The sequence below is a fragment of the Homo sapiens genome, chromosome 9, assembly GCF_000001405.40.
Source record: "Homo sapiens chromosome 9, GRCh38.p14 Primary Assembly".
In the NCBI taxonomy this organism is placed as follows: Eukaryota; Metazoa; Chordata; class Mammalia; order Primates; family Hominidae; genus Homo; species Homo sapiens.
In genome coordinates this window covers 113,146,952-113,168,643 of record NC_000009.12, presented here as the reverse complement: position 1 = coordinate 113,168,643, position 21,692 = coordinate 113,146,952, and the positions used below count along the sequence as shown (strand labels likewise).

Genomic DNA, 21,692 nt, shown 5'->3' with positions numbered 1-21,692 from the left:
CCCAAGGGCCGGTGACCCTTGTAGGTGGTGGGTACTGTGACCTGGAGCAGGAACAATAACATTTTCTATGACTTGATTTTCCTTCAGTCTCTCTGGGGATGAAGAGGATGAACTGTTTAAAGGGGCAACTCTGAAAGCTCTGAGGCCCAAAGCACAGCCTGAGGAGGAGGATGAAGACGAGGTGGTAAGGAAATCCCAGGCACTGTCAAGTCCTCACACACCCACCTGGGGGCTCTTCCCTACTGGCTCTGAGAAGAGAAATGGAGCCTGTTGGTGGCCCACTCCCTGGACTCTGTGTGCAGGGCCCTGTGGGAGCAGGCTTGGGGCTGGGCTGGGAGGGCGCAGCTCTGTAAGCAGAGTAGGGGACGGTCACATACCACTTTACTTTTGAGAAAGAATCATAGTCTCTGTCCATGCAGGAATTAGTCCCCTCAGAGGAAGAAAGCTGAGCTGCTTAGCCCCACATTGGAATGCTGAAGCCTTAGTTTTCCCCAAATCTGCTAGGATATTATTTATATTTTAGAATTGGAAAGGACTTTGAAGATCATCTTGCCTGGCATCCTTATTCATAGATAAAAAACCTGAGGCTCAAAATGATGATTTACCCAAAGCCACAGAGTGAGTTAATGGCAAAGCTAGGACTAATCCCCAGGCTCCTGTAAAGACCTCCTGTTCCTGAGCATTTTCCACTTACTCAGCCTGCTTTCCTGCTGCCTTGTTTTGTCATCACAATATCCCTGGGCACAAAATGGGTTCAGTATTAATAGCATAGCTTCACAGAACAAGAGTGAAGGCCAGGAGAGGAGGGCACTGATAGGGACTGAATTAGAACCCCGGTTCTCGCCTCTGCTGCTCCCCGCTGTGCTAGGTTACAACCGTTCTGGCTGTCCCTAGGCCATTTTGACTGCTCTGAAATGCATATGGAGAACACAGGTGGGCTTCAGGCTCAGTCCATCTAAAGGACAGAAATATGAGGGTGAATGGGGCAAATTTTGTCCCCTCATGTATCAGCCAGAGTGGATTTTGCCTTTTGCCAAAACCTTGAGCAGAGAGCTGTGATGGATCTATGCTCCAGCTTGCATGTATCGGAGCCCTTCCCTCTTGCCTGTGTTCCTTTGGGGAATGTACCAGTTCCTTCCATGAGTCTTTCTTCTCAAGAGTTAAATTTTCATTTGAGAATCCAGAATAGCAATTCTGCCCTTAAAAAAAGGAAAAAAGGGGGAAAAACCAAATTGAGTATATTCTAAGTGACTGCCCTAAATATAGTTGGAAGCTTTTAATTAGTGAGCATATTATTGGTATTAGTACCAATACTGTCCAGTTAACATGTAGTTCTTGGGTACTCTGAAAACGACTTCACAGATGTTGTCATTTAATCTACTAATCCAATGAGGTAGGTACTTTTATCCCATTTTATATATCAGAGGGCTGAGGCTCAGGAAGATTAAATAATTTAACTAAGCTTATATAGCTAGTAAATGTAGAGCCAGAACTTTAGTCAGGACAAAACAGAAGCTGTGAGCCACACTTGAAAATCCTATACTGTCAGAGTTAGAGATCACGTCATTGATGTCCAGAGAGAAGTACGAGGTCTGGCTAATTGGTAGTGACGTGGGATTAGCCCAGAGACTTGTATACACATCACGCTGCCTTCCCTTTTGCCTGGCCCTGTGAAGATGGATTCTGGTTGGCAGTTGCTCACCAGAGCAGAGAATGCCTTAGTAGAGACTATTCAGTTCGTGCCTGTCTGTAGCATCAATCCCTGCTAGCCGGGTAGGTCCTGTTCCCTTGCCAAGCCAGAGGAGAAAGGCCAGGAGCTCAAGCTGTGAAAAGAGAGGGTCTCTCATGGCCCATCAGTCCCTTTCACCCCCACTACCTTAGCTGGAAGGAGCGAGGGTGGTGCCAGTCAGGCTAGAGGTGTGGGAGGCTGTGGCCCCGTGTTCTTCACCTCTTAGGATTCTCCAGTTGGCCAAGCCTCCAAATTCAACTCTTTCAAATGATGGGATCACACCCAGAGCCAGTCAGGCCACCTTAGGCCACGACGACAGTATTTTTCCATATGTGATTGTCTTCTTCCCAACCTCCCTTCTTCCCACTTCCTCTCGCTCTCTCAGGGCTGCTTTGCTTCTGTTTCTTCCTACTGCTCCAGTGTTTCCTCTTTGACCCTTCTTTCTCCACACAAAATGTGTAAGTTACTGCATGAGAGGAAAATCTGTCAAATCAGTACATGTGCTTCATAAATAAATGATGAGATTAGCCAAACAAAGTTCATCTTTTGTCTCTGTTGAAAGACTGCCTCCCTTCTCTGCCTGCTGGTCTCAGCTTTATCTGGAAGCCTAGGTTTGCTGGCCTCAGAGTTGGCCCTGTCAGTACAACCTCCTTTCTGACCCAGAGCTGGGAACAGAAGTTGGATTGCTTCCACTCACAGGTGGAAAGTCCAGTGGTGCAGGCACAAGTGAGGACTGACTGCTCTTTCCTGTTTTATCAGAGCATGAAGGGACGCCCGCCCCCAACGCCCCTTTTTGGAGATGATGATGATGACGATGACATTGACTGGCTGGGATGAAGACCCAGGAAACTGGTGCAAAGGTTTCTCTGCAACCCTTCCCTAAGCATGATTTTGCACAGCCAACCCTGGGTCTAGGCGAACCACAGGGTGAGGTCAAGGTGAGCATTCTGGGAACAATATTTGGGCTCAGAGGGTGGGTTGGCCACCTTCTGAGCCCCACCCCCGCCAGACCTGGTGAAGAGGATCATAACCCTGTCTTCAAGAACACTGGGATTTCAGCAGCAAGTTGGAAGAAGGACTGGTAGGTTCCCCTCCAAGCCAGTCACCTGTAAGAGTCCTGTCCTCTGCCAGACTTTTTAATCTCTTCATTAACTCTCAGACTGACCTGGGAGCCCTCCTCTACCTGAATCCAGTGCTCAACTGTGCCCCGGCAACAAGACCTGGGCTGAGGTCTCCCTGGTAGAACTAAGGGAGATTACACCATCTAAATCCCAGTGCAGTCAACAGCCTGGCCTATAGTCCTGGGACATGTATCTTCTTCTTTGCCTTAAATCTGATACAAGAGGTCAATGACTTTGAAAATAAAACTAAAATAAATGTCTATAATGAAACTTGACCCAAGCCCTTGGAGAAAAATTGAGTTTGGTTCCAAGGGCTGTCTGTGCTCTTTTGGGAATCTAAGGGTAGGAGTCTTACAGATCTGGGTCAGTTAATGTGCACAAAACGTTGTGGCATATTTACTCCCTTTGATACCTAACCCTGGAACTTTTAGGCTTTCAAAGAAAGTCACCACTGTAGTCCTAGCTCATCCCTGGGGCATGATGGTTCTGTGAGGACCAGTCCAGTCATCCTCTTGCTCCTGCAGGCTTAGTCCTGCAGTCTAGGAAGCCATGCAAAGAAGGTGAGAGGGTCCCTTCTTTCCATTGTTCATGGCACCTGAGGGATTCTTCACTTTGAGAGCAGCTTCCATTCCCTTAGAACTCATGGGACCAGGACTTATGCAGAGAACAGTAGTGAGAAAATACTTGTGGTCATTTTCTTGATTCCAGGATCTTCCAAAGATTATGCAATCAGTCTTTAAAAAAACAGAATAATTAATTTTAATAAAAAATGTTTCTTGATTTTAAATGTTTTAAAAGATAGGACCCAAAATTCCACTTCATCTGGCCTGGCATCATCCTTGCAGGCTTTGGATATGTCTCCCGTGTGCGGACCTGGGAGGCAGTGAGAACTAATTATTTCTTTGTTGCTTAACAAAAGGCGGTGCTGTTTGGCACTTTCACAGACTGGCTTATCTCCAGCAACCACTGCAGAAGACAGTGTTATCACCATTTTATAGAGGAGAAAACTGAGACTTAGAGAGGTAAAGTAATTTGCCCAAAGTTACATATCTAGGAAGCCTCAGCACAAGAATTCAAATCCTGGCCATCTGATTCCAGAGCCTGGGCTCTTGGCCAGCACAGCCTGACTGTCACTGGTTGGGGGAAGGGGCGGTGATGCTTTTAGAAACAGGCTTCTTGAGACACCAGGCAGCTTTCCAGTTCCCTGCAAACATGGGGGAATGCCCTGATCAGTCCTAAAGGTGTGACATAGTCTACTTTCTAGGGCAGTTATTTCTTATTGTAAATTAACTAGTGGCTATTATATTTGCTTCTGCCCGCAGGGAGAGAAGATGCTGAGTAATTGTGCCAACACAGGTGCTTAAAGTCCGTGTGACAGTTACTTTTCTTATAGCATGTACTCAATTAATACTTGTTACATGAATGAAGAATGACTTGACTTGCCTCAGTTGGCATTCTGGGGTGTCTACCTGGGTGCAGCATTTCAGGGCTGGGTTTCCCTGAGCAGAGTTGTCTTTGTAGCAGATGGATGGACTCTGTCCTCAGACAGGCTTATAAAGAGTACTACCAGTTCTATTAGCCCCACTCAGCCCCTGCAGTTGTTACAAGGGTTCATGTGCTTTCTGTTGGAATTAGGAGAACAGAACAGTCATAGACTATTTAAAAATATATATTTACTAAAATGTATTTGTTTGTTTTTAATTCCCAAAGCTTACAACCATCTTTTCATCTAATCTGTGAGGTATTTAGTATACAGCAGTGATTTTCTCTCTTTCCTTTTTTATAAAGTGAAGAGGTTCAACTATCCAGAGAGTCCCATCTAACTCAAAAAATGTAATGGCTTTGGTTGGATTGCATCTTCAGTCAGTACCTGCCCATGGCTTAATCAGTATTTTAAGTGAATGAATCATGTTTCCCCACTAGATCATTACGAGTAAGCAGTAAGTAATAAATAGAGAATATTAAGTATTGAACATTATTAGATGCAGCTTTTTGTTCTGCATAGAAGAAAGATGAGGATAAAGGAGGGCATTGAGGCCACGAAGAGCTTCCCAGACACCCACGGCCATCAGATCATCTTCTTCCTGCAGGCAGTGCCTTCTGGTGGAAGGAGCTCAGTCTATCAGAGAATAAACCAGGAGCCTGAAAGCAGTCCTGTGTCTCTGCCTTTAATCAGCTGTCACTTATTCTCTCCCCAAGAAAGGGAAATAGGTCTCAGCAGTTTCTGCCATCCATCATGAATCAATGAAATCATTTCATTAAAAATTTTTTTGTATGAATGTGCAAAATTGCCAACTAGGAGTTCAATGGGAAAAATAAAAAAAACTTAGTTTGTCAACATGATCCATAGACGAGATGATCTTCATGTGTTCCAAAGGCAGAAAGGTGAGAAAAAGGATCTAGCTTGGTCTCTGTCCCTCAAAGACAGAAGAGGTCAGGAAGTCCAATGGGCGATGCTCCTGTAGATAAGGCACAAAGCAGGAGAGCTGAGGGTGTCCAGGTTCCATGCCCTGCATCACCAAGAACCCTTCTCCCTGGCTTGAAATCTTTGGAAATTCCTGGTTTGAGTCACAGAGAAGCATTGTCATGGGCTCAGTAACCCTGCCACCCCTGTTATCTCCATTCTCCCTTTGGTCACAGCAGCTGTCTTAAGACACAAGACCATGCCTGGGCCCTACGTAGGCTGGCTGAGAAGGAAGGTTGCTGCAATGGCTTCCGAACTCCAGGGAGCAAGTGCTGGCTTCAGCTCAAAGTTTCCAGGGGCTGGGAATAAGGTGGAGGAATAGCCATCAGAAGAAAGGGCAGTTGGAAGTATAGTGTCTGGAAGAGGGGGCTCCATGTCCCTCCAGCCTCAGTGCCTGCACGTTCCTCACCAGCTAAGCTGTGCTGAGAAGTGGGTAAGCTAGGTAGTAGCCCACAGCAGAGCCCAAGACCACACCAAGGAAAATCCAGGTGTTGTAGGACATTACGGCCAGCATGATGAAGTAGCCGATGACCACCTGGATGACATGGATTAGAGACTGGCCAAAGTGACACAAATACCACCTAGATAAAAAGGAGAAGCAAGTTAATCCTGGTAATGAGCTGGTAATGAGGAAGCTGGGAGTAGATATCAGGGAGTAGAAAGCTGTTGAGTTACGTGACCCGATTGATTTATAACTTGTATGCTTAACCCAGGAGTGATTTCTTTCTGCCCCTCCCACCCCCGCCCCCAGAAAAAACTCGAGATTTATTTTTAAAGAGACATATCTTCACTACATTTGGTTTCAAGCTTCCTGGCATCCTAGGCAAAGGGGAAAATGAGGGTATCTATAATCTGTCTTTCTGATAAGGAATAAGAGAAAATCATCAGTAAGGCATATTTCCCCCCTGAATCTACTTCGGGAGGCAGTATGACAATGGAAAGAAAAAGCATGGTCTTAGGTGACATTATCAGTTCCTAGACCTGCCACTAACTAAAAGTGGCCTAGACAAATGTCTTAACCTCTCTGAACGTAAGATTCCTTATCAGTAAAACAGGAATGAGAATACTTCCCTTGCAGTGCAGTTGTGAAGATCTGAGACACCCATGTAGGGTGGCTAGTGATGGAGCGGGCAGGCTTATTAAGCACAGGTGAGGCTGGGGCTGGACAGAGGGCAGAACAGGGACCCTAAATGGTTGCCTGATTCGAGTGGGAAGGGAGGAGAGGAGAGCTTGTCATCCTCCTCCCACCAAGTGGGATACATTGCTTCAGGACAGCTGCAGATCCCCTCCTGGATATGGGAGCCTAGTGACCCATGGAACTGGTGAGATTTGGGGGAGGGTGGGTGGCCACCTCATTTGCTAGATAGGGGCCTGCACCTGAAGATCACTGTTCCCTAAAGAAAGCCTTCTGAGCCTCTCAAGTGGCTGGCTGTTCACAGAGTGCTTTGGCCTGGGCATCAGGAGACATGAGCTCTAGTTCACTTGGCTATGTGTAGCCACTTTGGCAAGTCCTGGTCCTTCCCTGGGCCTCGCTGTCCTCTCTGTGAAGTGGGGCTAATGCTGTCTGGGCCAGCCTGTCTCTCAGGGTGAATGTGAGGCTTCTGCCCCTTTCCCATACCCACTGCCTGTACCTGTGGTGGGTTCTGCCAACAGGGAATGAATCTGAGCCTGCAGAGTCCCCGTCTGTCTCTGCGATGGTCTGCTGGCTGATGGAGGTTGGCAGGTTCACCAGTACCTGGTTGAGCAGCTTGGCTTTGCCAACCTTGATGCCTTCATACAGTACAGCCAGAAGCAGGAGCACCAACACCGAAAGGGCCATGCCTGTCAAAGGAGGCAGAGTTGTGGAGACCTGGCCAGGCCAGCACTGTTTCCCTTCCAGCACCTCCACCTGTTCATGGAATCCACTCCATCCACCTCTATCCTGCACCTTCTTCCCCACCCTTGCTGAGTTCCGAACTTCTTCACTGTCTTCACCAGACTTTTCTTAGCTGGAGTGTGGCTTTGAGATCAGGAAGAGAAGCCACCTGAAAAATCCAGGGGCTGAGGGTGAAGAAGCCACGTACCATTACCCCACCCACTCCCCCAGCAGGCTGCACAAATCTGTCGTGACTTCTTGTTAAGTGATGAGTACTGCAAGGTCCTATTTATATGTAAGTATGCAAAAAATGTCTGGAAGGAAAGATAAATAGCACAAGAGTAATAGTTATCTCAGCAAAGTAGGATACAGGTGGTTTTTATGTTCTTGCCTAACTTTCTAAGGTTTCTTTTATATATATTACTTTTATAATAGGGGAAAAACCCAATAAATTATTTTACCAAAACTATCAAGTGCTTATTAGAGCTGCTGTGTAAAATTAACTGTTAATTACTACTTTTGTTTCACTAAGAGGGATAATAAGTGGTCCAGCTAAAGTATTTTACTGGACTCTGCGACATAATAAGAGATATATATCCTGTTTCTGCCCTGGTTTCCTGGCACACGACTTCTAGAACCCTTGGAAACGCTGTCAAGTGGTGTCTTTTTATATGCTAATGAGATGACTGATGGCTGAGGCTCCTGGATGGGGGCTGGTTGCCAGGGGAGCCAAACTTGTGCTTGGAGGTTGGCACTTTCAGCCCCACTCCCTACCTCTGGAAGGAGACAGGGACTGAAGGTTGAATTGATCACCAGTGGCCAATGAGGTCATCAATCATTCCTCCATATGAAGACTCCATAGAAACCCAAAAGAATGCAGTTTAGATAGAAGGAATAAGTTGTTGTATTCGACAGTACAGTAGGGAAATTTATAGTTAACCATAATTTATTGTATATTTCAAAATAGAATTGTAATGTTCCCAACACAAAGATAAATGTTTGAGGTGATAAACACCCCAGTCACCCTGATTGGATCATTACATATTGTATATAGGTATCAAAATATCACGTGTACCCCAAAACATGTACAACTATTATATATGAATAATTTTTTTTAAAAGGACAGGATTTGAAAAGCTTCCAGCTGCTGTGAACACATGGGGGTACCTGGAAGGTGGCAAGCCCAGGGAGGGCCTGGAGGCTCTGAACCCCCTCCTACATGCCTTGCCCCATGCATCTTTTCCACACAGCTATTCATTGTACTTTTTTTTTTTAGATGGAGTCTCGCTCTGTTGCCCAGGCTGGAGTGCAGTGGCGCAATCTTGGCTCACTGCAACCTCCACCTCCTGGATTCAAGCAATTATCTTGCCTCAGGATTCAAGCAATTATCTTGCCTCAGCCTCCCAAGTAGCTGGGATTACAGACACCCCCCACCACGCCTGGCTAATTTTTTTGTATTTTTAGTAGAGACGGGGTTTGACCATGTTGGTCAGGCTGGTCTTGAACTCCTAACCTCAGGTGATCCACTCGCCTCGGCCTCCCAAAGTGCTGGGATTACAGGCATGAGCCACCACACCTGGCCCATTTGTACTCTTTTTAAGTGTTTCCTTGAGTGTTGTGAACCATTCTATCAAATAATTGATCCCAACAAAGGCGTTATGGGAACCCTGACATATAGCCAGTTGGCCAGAAGTACGGGAGACAAGCTGGGACTTGCAATTGGTGCCTGAAGCAGGGGGCAGCCTTGTGGGACTGTACCCTTAACTTGTGGGATCTGCACTAACTCTGGTTAGTGTCAGATTTGAACTGAGTTGTAGGACACCCAGCTGGTATCAGAAAAGTTGTCACTGAGGGAAAGCCTACACATCTGGTCACAGAAGTGTGTGGAGCGTAGGAAAAGGAAAAAGTTGGGTTTTTTTTCCCACAGGCTCCCAGGAGGAAATCATCTGACAGATGCAGGTTTTTAAAACATAAAATTATAGGTAATTTCATGTACATGGTGAAACTTCAAACAGTGCAAAAAAGAATACAATGAAAATTCAGGCCGGGTGTGGTAGCTCATGCCTGTAATCCCAGCACTTTGGGAGGTCGAGGTGGGTGGATCACTTGAGGTCAGGAGTTTGAGACCAGCCTGGCCAACGTGGTGAAACCCTGTCTCTACTAAAAATACAGAAAAATTAGCTGGGCATTGTGGTGCCTGCCTGTAGTCCCAGCTACTCGGTAGGCTGAGGCAAGAGAATTGCTTGAACCTGGGAGGTGGAGATTGCAGTGAGCCAAGATCGCGCCACTGCATTCCAGCCTGGGCGACAGAGACTCCATTTCAAAAAAAGAGAAAGATCAGTTTTCTTCCCACCCCAATCTCTCTTCACCCCAATTCTCCTCCCCAGAGCAACCTCTGTTACTCAATGTATATATCAGCCTCTGTTTGTCCAAATGACAGCATCCTATCTACGCATACTGTTTTGCATTTGACTTTATCATCCAGTTTTACCTCAGTTCACACAGATTTACCTTTTCCCCAGTGGCTTCATCGTATCTGTGATAGATTACATTTTCCAAAGACAGCCACTCCAATGTATCCCACCCCACATCCCCTTCTTATGATGTCAACACTCCTGCCATCAAGTGGTGGGGTCCATGTTTGTTCCCTCTCCTTTAGCCTAGGAAGACCTTCGTGACTGCTTCAGCCAATAAAGGTAGAAGTAATTTTATCTGATTTCCAAGGCTAGGTCTTGAAAATCCCACGTACTTCTACCTTGTTCTCTTGCGACACTCGATCTTGGAATCTAGCCACTCTGCCACGAGGAAGCCCAGGCCATAGGAGATGCCACATGTAGGTGTTCAGCCAACAACTCCAGCTGAGGTCCTAGCTAACAACCAGTATCAGCCACTTGGCATGAGAGTGAGGAACTCTTCCAAATGACCCTACTTCCAGCCACTGTTTGACTATACTGCATGAGAGACCTTCAGTAAGGACCACTCACCTGGGTCCAGTCAACTCACAGAACCTTGAGAGAGAATGATAAAATGACTTGTTTTAAGCCACTGTTTATTCAGCAATAGATAACAAGAAATAGTAACCCATTGTAGGGCTGACCATAATTTATTTAATCTGCACCCGCAATAATGGGCATTTGGGCTGTTTCCAGTCTCTTTTTAAGATGCAGTTATTTAAGTTGAAAAATAACTTCTTCATGAATTAGTGACAAACTCTGCCTTTTCAAATCAAAGGAATATTCTTTCCTTTCAAATTGGTGTCTCATCTCCAGCAGCTGCTGTGGGCTTCTGAACTGGTGCAGAACAATGAGCCCTGGATAAGGGAGGTGCCAGGTGACACCCGGAGGCCTTGATCTAGTAGTGGCTCTGATGCGTACTTACTGTGTGACCCTGCACGAGTCTCTCTTCCTGTCTCTGGGCTTTAGTTTCTTGCCCTGTAACAGAGGGAAAAGCTGCCTCCCTGCCTCTCGGCCTTTGTGAGGATCAGTAAGATAATGGAGCCCTTTGCGATCTGAAGGGGAGTGGTTACAAATGGAATTATAACTGTGAAGTTCCTGCTCAGTGTTTATGCCAGAGGAATCAGCCTCACTTAAATGCCCACAGAGAATCAAGAGAACCCAGATTCTCCCTTGCCTAGTACTACAAGGCTTTCCAAGCTACAAGTCTGAGGTCCCCAATTCTTACCAGCAGGACTGTGGACACTCCAGAAATCAAACAGAAGCACCGCTGTATCTGAGAAGATGAAATGCATCTGAAAGAGAAAGGAATCTGCATCATAGGGGCACAGGGCAGTGGAAGTTACGGTCCTTAATGCTCTCCAGCACCTCCTCTGGGAGCCCAGAAAAATGGGGTCACTGGAAGTGCTGGAAGGGCCATCAGAAGTCATCAGGGCCAACTGAGGCCATAAAGAGCTGAGACTTGCCCAAGAGGGTCAGCAGCAGAGCTATAATTGAGCTGGCCATGCTCCATATGAGAATAGAGGTGTGGGAGTGTCCATCCTCACTGGACCAACTGGCTCGGGATGTGACAGTGTCCTCAGACTATGTGGGGATGTCCCCTCCATGCCTTCCAAGTGCAACTGCCTCTTCTTACCCCCCCGGGACCCTAGCCATTCTGCTGCAGCTCCAGAACAGGCTCCCGTGTGATGGAAGCCTGGAGTCCTCTTTGTCCTGTTCAGTCTAGACAGATCCCACAGTGTTTATCGTGGAGGGGCCCAGAGGCAGCTGTCTTCACTGTACTCCACATCTGCCTACTCATTCACTATACATTTGCTGAGCCCAGTTTGTGTGCCAAGCATTATGGAAGTAGGTTAATGTCTCTGACCTTGGTGAGTTCACAGCCTTACAGGAAAGACTGCAGGTAAAAGCAGTGACCATGCAGTGCCTGTCAGATGCCTTTTCAGAGGGTGCTTGCTCCACCTTGTGTTCAGGGTGGCATCAAGGGCTTTTTCTACATCATCTCATTTCATTGTCACAACAGTCCTCTGTGTGACAGGGACAATTAGGTCCATTTTACAGGAAGGAAAGTTAGGGAAACTAGACTTAGAGAAGTAATTTACTGGTGGTCACAAAGCTAGTAAGTTGGCAGAGCTGGGATTCAAACCTGAGTCTAGCTGGATTCCAAAGCCCTGGACATTCCAGGACACGGTGCTTCCTCCCAATCTCCAAGAAAGGAGGGTACAGTGGGAGCTGGATGGTGAGTTCAGACGCCCACACCAGGCTTAATGACTGTTTGGAAAGATGAGGGCCCAACAGATCTATCAGTTAGTTCACCCTCTCAGGGAAGTGAAGGCCCCCTCTGGTCCCCAGGTAAGCCCTCAGCTAGCACAAGCAGTTCTGCAAACACTGTCAGTGTTACCCAGCTAAGGAGATCCTGGCTGAGTTGTAATCAGCTAGTGGAAGCCTTTGCCTTCTAAGACAATGGCCAAATATTAGAATCCTTGAATCTCAGCACTAGAGGTATCCTCAGAGTTTTTAGTCCCATGGCTTTCAGCTTTCTTCACCAGGGAACACCAGCCAATTAAAATCTTTCTTCTAATTCCATTATGTAAAACACGGGGCTCAGGGTGGAGAGGGGAGAGAAATATGAGCTCTGATGAAACTCAGTTTGAAAAATGCTGATCTGGCCCAACTTGAGTCCCTCTCCACCCCCTCTCATTTCCAGGTGAGGAAAATGAGTATGAAGAGGGAAAAGGATTTGCCGGACCTCCTTATAAGCGGGTTACTCTCAGTTTCTGTTCAAGGGAGGAAGATATGGAGTGAGACTGTGGGTACTTGTGAAGGCTGTGGGGGCCATCAGTTCTTACAGAAAAGGAGTTCCGGTGGAGGCAAACGTCAGTGTGGGGGTGGAAAGGTAGGCAGATTTGATTAGCTGCCATTTTGTCAGGAAGCTGTGCCATGTGGGTGTCCTGTAGCCTCCTGGAAACCAGAGCCACAAACTTCTGCTTGCAGACGACAGCCCTAAACCACAGGCCTTGCATGTTCTAGTCGTCTCCAATCCTCCCCCTCTCAACAGTTAGGACCAAAGGAGATAGTAAAGAATAGTAGTCTGAGTCCAGGATTTGGAACAAAACACATTTGTTAACCAGGGCCTCTCTCTGGCCTCAGTTTCCTCCGAGGGGAGCTGGGGGAAAACTCTGCAAAGCCATCCACACAAAGTGACACACAGTAAGGGCTCAATAACCCCAGTGCCTTTTTTTCCCATACATGTCAAAGCTGGAGGGGTGTTTCTCAGAAGTGTTCCATGGGAGAAGTACAGGATGCTAGGAGGTACTGGGAAAAATGGATTCTATGGTCAAGGGAGTTTGAGAGAGACTGGAATTAGACAAAATAAGGTTTAATAGCTTTCTGCACTGCCAGAAGCCTGTACCCAGAACTCTCTCCTCCCCTTTTTCTCTTGCTGAGTGCCCTGTGGGAAAGAATCTCATAGACTATCCTCTAGGAAGTGCTAATTTAGAGCAACCCTCTTTTTTCATGCTGGGAGGGAAATGACACTGATTATTCTGTGCCAGGCACTCTTCTAAAAATGTTATATGTCTTAACTCACTCAATTTCAAGAGGGGAATTATTATTCTTAGCTCCATTTCATAGATGAGACTACTAAGGCAGACAGAGTTTAAGTAACTTGCCAAGTTGCTAGCTAGAATTTTGCCTGGGTGGGCTGGTTTCAGATTCTGTGCTCCTAACTGCTCTCAATGCAGCTTCTCAGGGCAGCACTGGAAGTCCAAGGGGCAGCTGTGACATGCCCAGGGTCACACTGTGAGTTGGTGGCAGCATCAGGACTGGATCCTGGGTCTTCTTACCAGGCCCTCATTTGGCAAGAGGAAAACAGATGCTACAACACAGAGAACAGCCCACTTTCTTGTGCAATACTAGACAGAGATGAGGGCTGTGCTGTCGTTCGGTTGTTTTAACATTTCAGGAAGATATGCAAACAGCAGAAGAAACTGATATGGCCACTTTGGAACAAAATATGGGAAGAAATTGGGGAGAGGAAGGAATGTATGAGAAAAAGCCTCTGTGCAATTAGGATAGTCATGCTTAGCCCCCGAAGGATGTTCAGCCAATAGCTGGCCCATATTTCCTGAGAAAGATGAAGAGTGCACCTTAAATAAAGGAAACAAACAAGGACCAGTCTGGGGATGGGACAGTAAGACCAGAGCCCAGGGACAACAGCGGACAACAGGATGAAAAGGCAAAGAGGATAGGGTGGGAGGGAGGACACTGGAGCGGATCACAGGTGTGGATGACGATGCTGTTATAGCCGGATCCACAGAGGCAGAGTCAGTCCCGGGTGAATCACTGGGAAACCACAGGCCAATCATGAGCTCCACACTGGCAAGCGGCTTAGTGTAGAGGGACAGCAGCAGCTGCTTAGACTCCAGGGCCTTATTAAAAGTACAGATTCCTGGGCCTCCTCAGGCCCCTAAATCAGAGTCCAGGGTCAGAGCCACAGGAGACAGGGAAGACATAGATTTTAACCAGCCCCCTTCAGGAGATTCTGAGGCTCAGTTCACTTTGTTGCAGTTTGAACAGAGGCAGCAAGGCTAGTGGTTAGGGGCACGGTCTCTAAAGCTGCACTGCCTGGATCTCCCTCCCAGCTCTGCCAGGAACCAGCTGCGTGGCCTTGAGCTGCTGACACGCAGAAAGCCCCCTGTGGACCCAGTCTCCTCGTCTGTAAGATGAGGACAGGACTCTAGGAACCCTTTCCCTTGGTTTGGCCTCACTTTCACAGGCTCCCATCTTGAACTCTATCTACTCTTCCTGAAACCTTGTAAAAGAAAAAAGTGCTAGCCTGGGCAACATGGCAAAACCCTGTCTCTACAAAAAATACAAAAATTAGTTGGGTGTGGTGGCATGTGCCTGTAGTCCCAGCTACTTGGGAGGTGCTGAGGTGGGAGGATCACTTGAGCCCGGGAGGTGGAGGTTGCAGTGAGCCAAGATCATGCCACTGCACTCCAGCCTGAGTAATAGAGTAAGACTCTGTCTCAAAAACAACAACAATAACAGTGAGTGTGCCTCTGTTTCCGGGTTGGATGGGGCACCACATCTATGCATCTCTCAGATTTGGACGCTGCAGCCTGGGGTTTGGTAGAGACCTGGGACTAACCTGGCTGTTCTACTCCCTACACTCAGCTAACATGCCTTTCAGTGCCAAAAGGGGTCTGACTTGTGTCACCAACCCCTGCCTGCGCCTACCCAGGGACTGGGCTCACTGGAGACCGTGGAGCTGCAGGACAGAGAAAGAAATGTGAAAGCATCTGATTGGACAGAACAGCCACACAGCTCTGTGTCTTCTGAGGGACTGCATGTGCCTGTACCACGTTCACCTTCCATTTATTATGTGTCACTCCCTGTGACATCTCCGCAGGTGCCTACTATTATTAACCTCTTTAACAAGGAAGGTACATAAAAGCCCACTTATCTCCCCATGGTCACTCGGCAATCAGGTACCCAGAGCCAGAGAGTTTTCTGGAAAGCCTGTACTGGTTCTCAAACCTTAGTGTACTGGGTGTTTCTGGGACAGGTGTTTCTAGGACAGGTGTTTGTTGGGGGTCACACTTTGAGAAATCATAGGAACCATGATGGTCTCCTGTCAACCAGTAGGGACTGGTCAAGTAAATTATATGAGAGCTTCAAAATGGAAATCTAGGCGGTCACATCACAACATGATAAAGATCATGTTGAAGACTTTAAAAAATGTTGAAGAGTTTAAAAATAAGAATAGCTTTTACCCCCCACCCCCAATGGCACTAGCTCAATGTAAAAAGCTGACACAGTACCGAAAAGAAAGTAAAAAATCATTTTGAGTCTTACTACTCAGAGATCTCTCCTGTTAGGCTTTCAAAAAAAAAAAAAACATTTTGACACAGCAAAATGTTTACGCAAGATTGATATACAAAACCAAACAGGTACAAACAATACTGTGAAACTCCATTTACACCGGAGATGGCCTCATCCTCAGCAGAAGCCTCTAGCACCATCTCTGCCAGGTAGAGGTAGGGGTGACACCCATCACCCCTTCTCTGAGTCCATTTGGTAAAGCAGATGGTATGAATGGAATGTCCCTAGTGGCTAATTAATCAGTCAGGGAGTTGCCATAACTGGTTTCCTTCTATCATCCTTGGGCCTGGGCCAGTTATCTTAGGAGCCCAAAACAGCCCAGACATGTTTTGCCATAGACCTGAACACCCACAGAACAGTAAGAGTAATTTGAAAGATTTCTTTTTGTTGTGCTAGGTCTGTGCAGACCCTGGCGATACAGAGATGAATGGGACAAGTCTTTGGCCCTTAGGGAGCTACCTGTCTATGAGGGGGGACATTTAAGTGAGCAAATAATTACAACAGGTTGTAGGTCAGAGAAAGGGAGGCACAGTGGAGGCTCCCTGGGGGTGCTGGGGACCAAGCCGCCTGAGAGACACCTGCCCTGGCCAGAGAGCAGTTGGCTAGGATGGTTCTGAAGCCAGAGAAGCAGGAGATAGCTGGGAAGATGAACTGTATGGTTTGTTCAGAGCTGGAAACACCCACGGAGTCCGAAGCCCCAGAGGGACGAAGACTCACCTGTCACTCAACCCTTTCTACTTTTGCCTTTTTGCTAGAGGAAAAGATGGAAGTCAGCACACCCTGACTTGAGAGAAGCGATCTGGGCTACAGTTTTCAATTAAAGGGCTTTGTGGTCAGATAGGCAAGGGGCAGGGCCCCAATCTTGTTTTCCTACTTGGGATGAATCTTGGCCTCTGAAAGTTTAACTGATTTGTGCTTTTTTCAGGGTGGGGCTGTGGTGAAGGAGGGAGCAATCCCTGGAACTTGTTTTCTTCTATATTTCTTCATTTGGGGTTACTTACACTTTGAGAAAAGCTTCCTTATTTGTAAACAAGGGTTGGGAAGGAGATGAAGGTCCCAGTTGCTAGGCTGACTGGCTGGGGAACTTTTGCAAGTGCTTTCCATCTATTTCCCTTTTTAAAGGACGGCTGATCATTTCACTAAATGGCCTACATACACTTCCTATATCTTTTTTTTTTTGTTTTGTTTGTTTGAGGACGTCTTGTTCTGTTGCCCAGGCCGAAGGTCATGGCTCACTGCAGCCTGGAACTTCTGGGCTCAAGCAATCCTCCTCATCCTGCCTCAGCCTCCGAGTAGCTGGGATTACAGGCGCCTGCCACCACTTGTGGCTAATTTTTGTAGAGACGGGGTCTAGCTATGTTGCCCAGGCTGAGCTTCCTGTATCTTAAATTCTATGACATTCTTCATGGGATGAAGAAAATGATATGACTTCTTCAAAGACGAACGAGTCTTGCAAGCTGTCGTTCTCTCCAGCCCAGGTGAACCCTACCAAGAAAAACAGCTTGTCTGAAACGCTGTTTTCTGACTGAAAGTGTAGGGAAGCTGGAAAGTAGCTGGTTCTGTTTTATTCCCCGAAGAATCAGGCTACAAACTTGACAAGAGCAGGGCCGGGGATGTGCGCTCGGTGTGCGCGCGGGGCTGCGGGCTGAAATGCGCCGGGGGTTTCCCTTTCGTGGAAGCCTTCCTGGAATCTCCCAAGGCGCTGCTCTCCGCCCTGGGGCGCCGGCCAGAGGTCCGGGGCCGGGGGCCCCGGACCCAGCTGTCTTCAGCCACCGCGCCCCCACTCTCAAGCCGCGCCACCGCGGGCGCTCGGTAACTGCTCGCCTAGCCGGACTGCCTCCCAGCAGGAGGGACAAATAAAGAGGAAAACCACAGAGCCACCGCAACCTATACCTGCCGCGTCCCCCAACCCTGTTCCAGCTGTTGGCAATGCTGCCAACACACCCTTCACCAGCCCCGGGCCAGCGGCAGCGAGGATTCGGGGTGCCGAGATGGCAGCTCCAGGAGACCCCGCCCCAACCGCCCACCCTCTTCACCGTAGCGCCCGGCCCTTACCGCCATGGTGAGTGCGCAGGGCGGGCGCCAGGGCCGCGTCTGCTCGCTCGGGTCTCCTCGCTCCGAGTCAGTTCAACCGCCGCCGCCGCCGCCGCCGCGATAGCTACCCTGGCCGCACGGATCACGTGGTCCGGGCGAGGCGGCGCGCGGGCGCCTGGGAGTTGTGGTCCCCACACGCGCCCTACTTCGGCGTCCTCGGGCGCGCCCCCTGGCCGAGACCCAGGCGCCTCGCCCCAGGTTCCCAAGGGCTGAGGCTTGGCGTTCCCGGAGTCGCGAGCGAGAGGGACCACCTGCTGCCCTCTGTCTTCGCCCTTCCTGTTTTGCACTTGGCTTGTCTTGGCGATTATGAGAATGTTTATTGCTCATTGTAATAAACTACCCCAAGCGTAACATATATTGAGTTGAAATGGGCAAGTCCGTGCTATGGACGCAATAGCAACACATTTGGAGTAAATTAAGTCAATTATGCCCTAGATTTTTAGTGTAGTCATTACAAGATAATTACATTTTTCTTTTTAGAAAAATATTTTCCAATCTGATAAGCCAAAAGGAATACACCCGTGTAATTTTGTTTTTCTTTGATTACTAGGGTAGTAAACTATTTTTCTTACGGGTACTTCCATTTCTGTGTATTGCCTGTTCATTTCACTGATCCAGTTTTTTGATGGGGAGTTTCTTGTAGGGTGAGGGATTTTTAATGGTTATTGATTCTTAAGCATATTTAGGAACCCTTTGCTAATCAGCCTATGAGTAAAGAGGCTCTTCAGAGAAACCTTACTAAGGACAGTATTAGCAGAGACCTTGAGCCTGGAGCTAACCTCAGTTCACATCCATACGCATCAACTATTGGCTTTGGGACCGTAGGCAAATAGCTTACATCTCTGAACCTCAGTTTTCTGGTCAGTAAAATGAAAATAATAATAAAATCTATGTCATAGGGATTAAATGAAAACATACATGTTAAATTATCATGTAACCTGGCAGTGGGAGCTTGTTCAGTAAATGGTAGAATCCTCAGGGTCACACAGCTTTTTTTCTTTTCTTTGAAACAGAGTCTCGCTCTGTCGCCCAGGCTGTAGTGCAGTGGCGCGATCTTGGCTCACTGCAACCTCCATCTCCCGTGTTCAAGCAATTCTCCTGCCTCAGGCTCCCGAGTAGCTGGGACTACAGGCGCGCACCACCATGCCTGGTTAATTTTTGTATTGTTAGTAGAGACGGGGTTTCACCATATTGGTCAGGCTGGTCTTGAAATCCTGACCTCGTAATCTGCCCGCCTCGGCCTCCCAAAGTGCTGGGATGCTGGGATTACAGACGTGAGCCATCTTGCCCGGCCCACACAGCTTTTAAGATTCTCAGTCTGAAAGCTAATGGAGCAGCTTCAGGGAGAGAACATGGGCCGTGGCACTGTGATGGGGCTGGAGAGGGAGAGCTGCTGCTGTCATGGTTTACTGGGCCATGGGGAAGCACTGGGGAGAAGGGCTAAGGGTATCTCTGAAGCATCTGGGTTCCAAGAGCTGGGGAGGGCTTTGGGTGTAGCTTTTCACCTCTCTGGGCCTTACATGGGAAGCAGGAGTAAGATAATCTGACCTTCACATAAGTGGGCTCTGGTGCACCCCACTCCCCCCACCTGCATTGAAGAATCTGCAACACAGCTTTATTCATTTGACGGTTTTTGTTGGCTTTGTCACAATCTGATGACCTTTACACTTACTTCTAACTTCCTCATGGATGTTTTGGTTACAACACTTAGCCAGGGAGTCCTAAAATTTCTTTCTGTACCACCAGAGGCACTCCTTCCCTGTCCCCCAGGCAGAGAGCTTGTTGCAAACCATGGGATCCTAGATCATAAGATCACAACACAGCCACCCAAGCCTGGGTCCATGGCAAGAGATTCCGGATTCTGTGTTTTGACAGCCCATGACTCCCCTCCTTTCACGGAGCAATAGTCTGTTGTTGTCTTTCCATAGCACACCTAGACCCCCCGAGACAGAATCCCCACTCAGGAAAGATGGCACTGCCTTGAGTGTCACAAAGATTATTTAGAGGCCCTTTAACCTGGGCTCATTTGTAGTCAGTTGATAGAGCGGAAATCCAACCAGTCATTTCTCCTTCTGAGGTTCAGTAGAGGAACTTGAGACTCATGAAAAGACCACATGCACAACATGTAATTCCTGCAGAATGTTGGGTCTTTATGTGTAGGTAAGGCTGTGTGATCCCCAAGGATGCCACTGCCCGTCTCTGGGACCTCGATGTCCCCATCCGTACAGTGAGGGGTGGAATGGATGACCTGCAACTGCCCTCCACGTGCTGATCTGCAGTTATAAGTGAGCCTGAGGGTGGAGTTGAACATGTTATGGCCAGGACCTTTGCATATTTTCCCTGTTAACTCCATCAACTAGCCTTCCATCTTCTCTCCAACGATACCTCTATTATTTTATATTTATGCCATGAGCAGTATTGTGGATCTGATGTGTGTGACACAGGAGGAGCGTGCACATTCAAGGTTGGCCTGTGTGGAGACAGTGGGTGTGCGTGTCGTGGGGGCTAGTGTTTACTGGATCTTGTGCTGGTAAGGCTGGAGGAAGCAGGAGCCAGGCCGCCAACAACCCGGAGGCTGTGTTGAAAGTCAGGAATTTACTCTGGGACAAGAAGGAACTACCAATGGGTTTTTAATATGTATGTTTTCTCACTGCATTTTGTTCTTTTTCTTTTTTCCCAAATGTCACTCTCTTAGTGAGGCCACTCTGACCACCCAATTTATTTATTTATTTTAGAGACAGGGTCTTGCCCTGTCACTCAGGCTGAAGTGCATTATTGCAATGATAGCTCACTGCAGTCTAGACTCCTGGCCTCAAGTGATCCTCCTGCCTTAGCTTAGCCTCCTGAGTAGCTGGGACTACAGCATGCCCAGCTAATTTTTAACAAATTTTTTTGTTTATTTTTGAGACAGAGTCTCGCTCTGTCTCCCAGGCTGGAGTGCAGTGGCATGATCTCGGCTCACTGCAAGCTCCGCCTCCCGGGTTCATGCCGTTCTGCCTCAGCCTCCCGAGTAGCTGGGACTACAGGCACCTGCCACCACGCCTGGCTAGTTTTTTGTATTTTGTTTTGTTTTGTTTTGTTTTTTAGTAGCATGGGGTTTCACCGTGTTAGCCAGGATGGTCTCGATCTCCTGACCTCGTGATCTGCCCGCCTCGGCCTCCCAAAGTGCTGGGATTACAGATATGAGCCACCACGCCTGGCTGCCTCCCTCTTTTAAAGATCCTTATGATTACATCTAGGACCCATCAGATAATCCAGGGTTATGTCCCCATTTCAAGATCCTTAATTTAATCACGTGCGCAAAGTCTCTTTTGCCAGATAACATTCACAGGTTCCGACCATCAGGACCTGGATAATTTTTAGGGCCATTATCCAGCCAATTGTAGGGGTCATCCACATTTATAACTTTCCTGACTGTCTGGAAGGGCTTTGAGCCAAACCAGAGCAAACAGCAGGCCTCTGGACAGCTGAGAAGAAAGCAATGGTTTGTTTTAGCTTTGCAGGGAAGGTAAGTGCTGTGAGGATCCCTTCACTGTTGAAGCCAGGGCTGAGGAGGGAAACACCCCTGAGAATTCACAGGTATAGGCTCTTTACCTCAGTTGTCTTGACAGGTTCCTTTCACAGCTGCTGCAAGGTTGTCTACTCCAGCTGCCCGGGACTCCCAGGCCCTGCATGCCTGCCTCCTGCAGGAAGACTGAGGGGCCCTGGTTTCTCCAACAATGCTGCACTGAGCTTGGAAGGCCAATGCTCAGACTGCCCCACATTTGCAGGGTAAACAGGTTTGAAAAACAGCCATCCATGTCCCATCCAGCTGACGACAGCAAATTTACAAATACTTTTTAAGCAAACTTGCGGCAAAATACACATAACATAGGCCAGACATGTTGGCTCACGCCTGTAATCCCAGCACTTTGGGAGGCTGAGGCAGGCAGATCGCTTGAGGTCAGGAGTTTGAGACCAGCCTGACCAATATAGTGAAACCCCATCTCTACTAAAAATACAGAAATTAGCTGGGCGTAGTAATGGGTGCCTGTAATCCCAGCTACTTGGGAAGTTGAGGCAGAAGAATTGCTTGAACCTGGGAGGCAGA

At 47.8% G+C, this 21,692-nt stretch overlaps 2 protein-coding genes across 4 annotated transcripts in view, besides 2 other annotated features; one reads left to right on the top strand and one right to left on the bottom strand.

The window, feature by feature from the left end:
* Nucleotides 1-7,638, top strand: part of FKBP15 (FKBP prolyl isomerase family member 15) — a 60,272-nt gene extending 52,634 nt beyond the window's left edge. For 2 of the 3 annotated variants that reach the window (XM_006717019.2, XM_006717018.3), the window contains 2 exons: nucleotides 88-184; nucleotides 2,489-7,135. In XM_006717019.2, the coding sequence (XP_006717082.1) occupies nucleotides 88-184; nucleotides 2,489-2,566 (175 nt within the window). In that variant the 3' untranslated portion in view covers nucleotides 2,567-7,135. Of the gene's footprint in view, nucleotides 1-87; nucleotides 185-2,488 lie in introns of all 3 variants that reach the window. The other variant, NM_015258.2, reaches the window with a different exon arrangement.
* On the bottom strand, nucleotides 4,504-17,637 carry SLC31A2 (solute carrier family 31 member 2). The gene is made up of 4 exons (NM_001860.3): nucleotides 17,564-17,637; nucleotides 10,851-10,917; nucleotides 6,946-7,135; nucleotides 4,504-5,895 (listed from the first exon to the last, which is right to left on the bottom strand). Exons 1-4 carry the CDS (start codon nucleotides 17,567-17,569, stop codon nucleotides 5,727-5,729), a joined length of 432 nt encoding a protein of 143 aa, NP_001851.1. The 5' UTR covers nucleotides 17,570-17,637; the 3' UTR covers nucleotides 4,504-5,726.
* Nucleotides 10,520-10,721: a silencer, noted in NCBI's record as "fragment chr9:115920203-115920404 (GRCh37/hg19 assembly coordinates)". NCBI's record gives its function as "represses an EF-1alpha promoter that drives an FKBP-Casp9 reporter gene in an ReSE screen in K562 erythroleukemia cells {active_cell/tissue: K562}" and the evidence as "EXISTENCE:reporter gene assay evidence [ECO:0000049][PMID:32094911]".
* Nucleotides 12,421-12,715: an enhancer, noted in NCBI's record as "tiled region #5302; HepG2 Activating non-DNase unmatched - State 23:Low". NCBI's record gives its function as "activates a minimal TATA promoter and a strong SV40 promoter by Sharpr-MPRA in HepG2 cells {active_cell/tissue: HepG2}" and the evidence as "EXISTENCE:reporter gene assay evidence [ECO:0000049][PMID:27701403]".
* Nucleotides 17,638-21,692: the final 4,055 nt, after the last annotated feature.